This window comes from Homo sapiens, chromosome 9, assembly GCF_000001405.40.
Source record: "Homo sapiens chromosome 9, GRCh38.p14 Primary Assembly".
In the NCBI taxonomy this organism is placed as follows: domain Eukaryota; kingdom Metazoa; phylum Chordata; class Mammalia; order Primates; family Hominidae; genus Homo; species Homo sapiens.
This window is the reverse complement of record NC_000009.12, coordinates 42,624,944-42,633,479: the sequence shown is the minus strand read 5'-3', so window position 1 is coordinate 42,633,479 and position 8,536 is coordinate 42,624,944. Positions and strand designations below refer to the sequence as shown.

General features: G+C 34.2%; 1 pseudogene; it reads right to left on the bottom strand.

Annotated features, from left to right (window-relative positions):
• Window positions 1-3,640: 3,640 nt before the first annotated feature.
• On the bottom strand, window positions 3,641-8,050 carry FGF7P5 (fibroblast growth factor 7 pseudogene 5; annotated as a pseudogene).

Here is an 8,536-nt window from a genome sequence, read left to right as displayed (position 1 = left end):
TATCTTTTCAAATAACCAACTTTTTCTTTTATGTTTTGTATTTTTTGTTGTTGTTGTTGTGTCAATTTCATTTAGTTCTGCTCTGATCTTGGTTATTTCCTTTGTTTGCTGGGATTGGGTTTGGCTTGTTCCTGTTTCTCTAGTTCCCTGAGATGTGAACTTAGATTGTCTGTTTGTGCTCTTTCAGACTTTTTGACGTCGGTGTTTAGGGCTACAAACTTTCCCCTTAGCATTGCCTTTGCTGTTTCCCAGAGGTCTTGATAGGTTGTGTCATCCAGTTTGAAGAAATTTTTTACATTTCCATCTTGATTTTGTTTTTCACCCAATGCTCATTCAGGAGCAGGTTATTTAATTTCCATGTATTTGCATGGTTTTGAAGATTCCTTTTGGAGTCGATTTTCAGTTTTATTCCACTGTGATCTGAGAGAGTGCGTGATACAATTTCAGTTTTCTTCAATTTACTGAGACTCGTTTTATGACCTATCATATGGTCTATCTTGGAGAAAATTCCATGTGCTGTGGAATAGAATGTGTATTCTGTGGTTGTTGGATGAAATGTTCTGTATGTATCTGTTAAGTCCATTTGTTCCAAAGTGTAGTTTAAATCCAGTGTTTCTTTGTTGACTTTCTCTCTTGATGACCTGTCTAGTGCTGTCAGTGGAGTATTGAAGTCCCCCACTATTATCGTGTTGCTGTCTATCTCATTTCTTATGTCTACTAGTAATTGTTTTATAAATTTGTGAGCTCCGGTGTTAGGTTCATGTATGTTTGGGATTGTCATATTTTTCTGTTGGATGAGACCTTTACCATTATATACTGTCTGTCCTTGTCTACTTTAGCTACTGTTGCTTTAAAGTTTGTTTTGTCTCATATGAGAATAGCTACCGCTGCTCGCTTTTGGTGTCCATTTGCATGAAATGCCTTTTTCTATTCCATAATCATTCTGATGCAAAAACAATTGTAACTCTCCTTCTAGTGCCTACATTTCCTATGAGCCCCAGTTGTGCATAGCAGAAAATACGGAAGCATCTAGGAAAACCTAGGGGCAGGAGGGGCTGGGAGGGAATAAGGCCTTTCAAGGTGTTTAAAGAAGCGACAAAGATGAAGAAGCAGGCATAGTTTCTGAAGACATTTTTTGGTCTTTGTTGTTGTTTGCATTTACCTAATTAGTTCTCAACTGCAGAGGCACATTAGAATATTCTGGGGAATTTTTAAAATACGACTGCATGGGCCACCTGTCATATACACTGATGTAATTGGCTTGAGTTGGGGCCTAGGTTTCTCTCTCTCTCTCTCTCTCTCTCTCTGTTTCTCTCTCTCTCTCTCTCTCTATATATATATATATATATCCTGTTTTGTATATATCTAAGTATCTGTAGATATATACAGAACAGGGGATACCAGTGTGTACCTACCATTGAAATCAATTGTTTTCAAGTCTTTTTAGGTCTTATTCTCAGATGGTCTTGGGTAAATGGTGGCTGATTGCCTTCAGCATCTAGAATAAAACACTCTATGGCCCAGAGGAATTCCAGCTGGCATCTATGATCTTTTTCTCTTGAGGTAGAGCAGCTGAAGGGAGGATTATCTTCATGTTGAGTCTGATGGCAGGGTAATTTGCTTCATGTGGAGGCAAAGGGATATTGTTAGTTTTCCAGCTACATTGGGAGTTCTAAGTAGCCACATCTCAGGCTAATAGGAAGTCCAGATTGGTTCAAACCTTTTCTTAATTATCCTGTGTAGGAATGGACCACGCAGTATCCCTCAAGGAAGAATCAAGAGTGTTTCCACAGAGAATATACATATTTCATCTCTTTCTCTGCTGAATGGATCCCCACTGAAAGCCATGAATTAATTACTCTCATTAGACCCTGTAGAATCCCAGTTTATGGCAGTGACATTAAAAACATCTAGTTCATGACTTGGATTAGGCAGCCTGTAAAATGACTTCCAGTGATCCCTGCTTTCTGGTATGTATGCCCTTGTATAATACCCTCCTCATGAGTGTAGGCAGAGGTAACATCACTTTTGAAACTAGGTTATATATATTAAAACAAACAAACAAACCTGTGGCTTCCATTTTGGGTACTTTATCTCACACTCTCTGATTTCTTGCTCCGTGGGAAACAGACTGTAATGTTGTAAGCAATGCTATGGAGAGGTCCATGTGGTAAGGAAGTGATAGGTCCTGATAAGAGCCAGTGAGGATCTAAGGTGGATCCCTTTCTGAGTTGAATATTGAGATAGATGACTACAGCCCTGGTCTACACCTTGATTGCAGCCTCATGAGGAATTCTGACCAAAAACACTGTGCTGAACCACGTCCAGGCTCCTGAGCCACATAAACTATGAGAAAACAAATATTTGTTTCAAGCCATTAAGTTTTAATTTGTTACACAGCAATAGATAACTAACACCTTTGTTACAGAGCAATAGATAACTAACACATGGAAGGATTCATCAAGAGAAGCGTTTTTCATAAGTGAAATGTTATTTTCATCTCACATTTCAATTATTAGAAAATAAAAGAAAATAAATTTGGATAGGCTCTCATAAATTCAATGATAAGAACTTGGAAAATGCAACCACATGATAACCAGGAAGTAAAAGGAAAACATAAGAGGCATCTTCCCAGACGAGAGTAAATATCTGGTTCCCTGAGAAGTGTAGTTTGAGAATGGAGAAATCAGATGTTACTGGAAAGAGGCTAGGACTGTATTATTTCTTGCTTCCTGTCAAGTCTTTTCAACTCAAGAGAAAGTAAATTTTCTTGACAAACCATTCAAAATTAAAGGATAGGTGGGAGTACATGTGTCCCTGAAGGAACAAGTGACCTTCATTGAAAGCAGCAGCTTGGTTGAATAAATACTGTACAGAAGTGGAATAAAGAGTAGCTGACAACAATGCTGAAATAGTTACACATGAAGTTTTAATGAGCTATTTCATATTAAGATACATATTGAGAATTCAAACCAGAGAGACCAGTTAATTGATATTTTCCCAACTCTGTTTTAGGGTGATCATAGAAATGATACCCACAAGTTAGTCACAGTGGCCTGCATCCATTTTGATATATCAGTGACGTATTCTGATTGGCCAGTAATCACCCATACTGACTGTTAAATATTTTTGTTATCACTCCTATGCATGGTGAATTTGAGTTCTGGTTTTCTTTAGCCTTGTGTTATTTATGTGTAAAGTTGGATCATGGAAGGCAAAGAATCTCTCGTGTGTCATTCACGCTCAAGTAAATGGCAGTGGGATAGGGATGTAAATGAAACTGCATGATAAGCCCTGCAAGTCATTCTGATGTATCGATTTTGCTTACTGGTGTTTAATTGCAGACATTGTCATATTAACGCAACCACTAATACATTATGGAGTAAGATGCAAAAATCACATGAGTCTTAACAGAAAAGAAATGTGATTTCTGTGGTGGGCCCCTTCTGCATTATTCTCTAACTTCTTGTTTTATACCTCTACTGTTAGAGAAATTTCAGTAGAAAATCGTGAGGGGCACTGTTTTAGAGTTTTTGTTGTTATAGCAATGCTTTTACTACAGCTAGGTCCCCTTGTACATCTTTATGTTCTTTGGCAGTCTAGAGAATCAGAAGAGCAAACTCTATGAGATAGAAACTCTAAGAATTTACCTCCAGCATCCCTTCTCTTCTGTCATTAAATTGAATTCATAGCCAACTCAAAGATTGACAATTTATACTATGGTTTTTATATTTTTATATTATAATTTATATTATGGCTTATGTCAAAATGTTTTGTTCACTGCTTTGAAAGTATCTTTTGTTTACTTTTGTTATCATTTCATATTTTAATTTTTTCCTTTCTAATTGTTAGAAACTCATGTATTTAATTTTATCTTTCAAAGAACATTTTTAAAAGGCTTACTCTGCTTATATGTATATTTTGCACAAAGCTTTCCATTCATAAACAAAAGGTGAATAGGAATCAGAATTGAAAACTACATAATTTCTTTTCTCCTTTTGAGTCAAATCATCACAGTATAGATTAGTCATTGTGTATGAAGTGCATTGCCAAGACATAGTCACATTTGTGTACAAATGTAAAGGCTATATCTCAATAGAAATAAAAAAACAAAAAAATGCAGAAGACCATTAGCTAATAATACTAATAATCTAGTATAGAAAGCATGTGCCAACTGATCTAGACTCTTGTGACAGTTGTATATCTACTCAGCTGCTTGACCTTAGGTGTATCAAAATCTCGATTTCCTAGACTACAAATGAGTAAGAGGGATGGAGGCCCCTTACAGTTTTAAGATTCTGGAATTCTAAGTGGGTGTAACTGGAGCAAATTTTATTTTCTAAAATTTGCATAATAAATTTTAAAATAGGAGAAAAACTAATAATTAAAGTACATATTTCTGGAAGTCTTTTTTAGGTGACTTATACTACCAGGAATGGATTTACCACTAAATATTGGTTTTGCCTAATTCAGCATTGCTATGTAATTTGATGGAAGTATAACTCCATAGACAAAGAGATTTGGTCCTAACATAGCTTGTATTTTATATGTATATACACTATTTCTATTTAAATTTCTGTGTAGTCATGTTTTACCCTTTTAAAATGAAGATTAGTTTTATTATGTATTTTCTTTTGTCTATAAACATTCAGTGAATTCACACTGAAAACTGATTATGAACAGATAGTCTGCTAGGCACTAAGGAAACACATATGAAAAACTAAGTCCTCCTCTGCCCTCAATATGCTCACAAGACTACAGTTACTGAAGCCTGACCTCAAAACCTAGCTAACAAAGTCCTTGAATCAGGTGATAGTTCAGAATACCATTCATGCTCTCTCCCAAGAGTATATCTGAGGAAGGGCAGTTCTTTCTAGTTTTCTACATCCTGGTCGTATAGGTCAACCACAGGAAAATTAAATGAATCTATTGGTTTGTTGACCTAGCCTTTTCATATAAGCCTCATCTATAAATGTATTACCAAATACTATTTATGTAAAGGGACTTGAATGACAAATATTTTGAAATTAAAACCACAATGGTTAGCATAGCTTTTAAATTAGATAAATGTTGACCTCCCATTGGTGAACATATAAAGTGCTACCAAGATCTGCCAATGAAAGACTTTGGAAGTGGAAATTCATCTTTTTAATAATCCTGTTATCTGTAAGCTGACCTCAAGCCTTCATGACATTCAAGGCCCCTTATTCCTAACTGTATCTTCTGTTTTGGGCATTGTGCTCTTGCCATCTAACAGGAAAACAACTTTCAGTGCTGCCACCTTTTGAACAGCAGAGATTTCTAGAGATTAGAAAATTACTAAATTTAAATATACATAGTTTTAAAATATGATACTTTTCTACCTATGCATTCAAATATATTCTAACTTTTAAATCCTGTAAATACTTATATTTGTAATGATTTTACTTATATGATCCAATTAATTGGCAAGAATATGTGGTGAAAGATTTTTTACATGTTTGTATTGTTCTGTGTGAGACATCTACTGTAAGCATTGCTTCAGGTTCTCATTTTTGTCTGCCTTCCAGGATTTGCTGGCCCAAGTGCTGTGTGCTAGACTTAGTCTCGGTCACAGAGGGGAGGGAAACTTGCAGTTGAGCCAGACAGTTTTGTTATTCCTTTAAAATTAAAAGCATATGAAACAGATACAGCTTATTAAGGTTTTTTTAATAAATAAAATAAACTTAAATAACAAAATAATAAAGTTCAAAAACAACTTAAAATATAGTTTAATGCTGTAACCATAGGAAAAAAGCATGATTATTTGTGGGAAGAACATTATTAAAAGCCATATTCCCAAATACGAATTATACAAAGATAGATTATGTTACTTGAAAAAAACTTAAAGATTTCTCAATTTTACTTTGAGAAATTATAAAATGTTATTTTGTGGCAAGTAAGATGAAGTACAGTATTATCATCAATCACTGTTGCTATCTTATATACAAGATTTTTGGAAACATCCTTTTAGCAATACCCTTTCCACTTGAGCAGCATTAGAAATTTTGTTCTTGTTAATAGGTATAAGCATGTTCTAATCCTGTACTTTTGTTAAATTATCTATTTTATTGACTTTCGTAATAGATTTTTTTGAGAATATTCTTTTTTTCTGATTAGAGTTTAAGTAGATTATAATTTTTCACTAGAAAGCATTTAAAATGCTGCTCATTTTCTATAGTTAGTGTGGCTTGATTATCTGACAAATCCTGCCAGCAGCCTGTAGGTCTGATATACCTTATATAACATCATCTGCATTATTATTATTATAGCAGCCATTTTATAAGCAGATAGGAATATTTAAATAATCATTATCAGATAATCAAATCTAACATACTCTTAAGGGTAAATTAATTTAAGAAAAAAATTACTATTACTAACATCATGATTGTACAACCAGTTTTACAATTTTGTACAACCTTTAGTTACTAAATCTGATTTTTGTGTATACTTTTCAAATCTTTCTTTAATGCAGTGTCTTAAAACAAACATAAATGCACAAGTCAAGCTTGATCAGTTTTTCAGTAGTTTTCCAGCCTTTCTTGATTACTAAAAAATAAAAGGAAAGAAAATTTTGAGAAGAAAGAAAACAGTCCACTTAAAGAAATCTCCCTACTGGAACTGGTTCTTTATATACCATATGCAATTAAGTTATTGCCATAGGAAGAAAGTGGGCTGTTTTTTGTTCTTTCTTCGTTTTTTTTCCTCTTACAGGAATCCCCTTTTGATTTAAGGCAACAAACATTTCCCCTCCATTGTGTGTCCATTTAGCTGCTGCATATGTGTTGTAATGGTTTTCCAGAATTAGTTCTTTGAAGTTACAATCTTCATTGCATTCTTTCTGTTCAAACAAACAAACAAACACACAAACATTATCCAAATGATTTTTAGAGAGGCTCAATTAAACGAAGAGTAAGCAGCAATATTTGGTAGAATTGAAACATACACAACTTTTTTTAACCCTCAGATTGAGCAGGCCTAATGTGGTTTATTAGCTAGACTTATGTAGTATATTTGCATAAAAAGGTATCTTAAATTTGAAATAAAGACACCACATAATGCACAGCTAGTGTGAAATATGTGTAGCTTTTTGGAAGTTCATGTCAACTATTCTTTAAAATTAGGACCTATTTCCCCCTAAGTAACAGGCCTCAAATTACTCTTCCCACATCACTCATTCTTTAACCACTGGAAATTTGGTAGAATTAGCAGAACCTCTGCCTCCCTCAGGTGAGAGACTTGTTTCACAACTTTTCTTTATTTACTTGTACACTGTCTTCAGTGGTAATGGAAGATAAAAGGTTAATTTGTTTGTTCATCCATGCAACCATTTGTTCATTCAATTAAACCTGTATCATTATATAATTAGCCTGTTCCAGGCATTATGCTGAGCTGTGGGAATACAAAGGAAAGCCAATTATATTTTATTACAGTGGGATGAACTGTTACATATTTTGCATTGTAGTGAAGTGGGAACAATGTGAATAATTACAGTTCAAAGCCCATGATTGTGAGATTGATGTTGATGAATGAACTAAACATTTCAAGATTTTTTCCCAAGAATTTTCATGTCAGCAATGTGCAAATTGGGTGAACTTTAGCAAAAAGAGCTTTAATACTGGCAAATGGAAATTTTGGATTTTAAATATCTAAAATGCACATGGAATGTTAGAGCTGGAAGGCTCCTTAGAGGTCAGCTAATTCAACTCATTTTACAGATGAAGAAACCAGAATCCAAAGAACAAGCCATTTGTCCAAAGTCACACAGAAAACATTTTTTCTTAACATTTGAGTATAAAGTGTTTTAATAAAATCATTAAATTATACAGTTGGAGATAGATTAAGTCCATGTTTACTTTTCAGAATGGTGAGATATTTCAACAAAAATGAGTTTTAAAAATTAAGCCTAAGCTATCAATTATCAATACCTTTGCATAGAGTTTTCCTTCCTCGTTCATTGCAAGATAGAATTCACTTTCCACCCCTTTGATTGCCACAATCCGAACTGCCACTGTCCTGATTTCCATGATATCTGCAAGGAATCACAGAAAGACATGTCAAGTATTCGTTCAGCTTTGCAAATGATCCACGAATGGCCATTTGTTCTTATTTCTGTTTTAATCGGAAGTCTTTAAAATTTTTAATGTGATTATTTACTCAGCCCAAGACCCCCGACCCACAAGAGATACACACAAACACCAGAATAGTCATTATATAAGGCAAGTGCAAACTGACGGTTTTTTATTTTGTGGAAAATGTGCCTGTATCGAATAAATAGTTACATATTTGAGTTCAGCTTTTTATTCTCTAGAATTAAATTTCTAATTTACTATAATAATAATAGCTAATGTTTATTGAACGCATACCACATGCCAAGGATTATTGCATTGCTCTTATGTATTAACTCATTTACTCATAACCACAGATTGAGGCAGGTAGTCTTGTTATCCCAGTTTTACAGATCAGGAAACTGAAGCACAGAGAAACTAAGAAATTTGCCCAAATTCTTATACCTGAT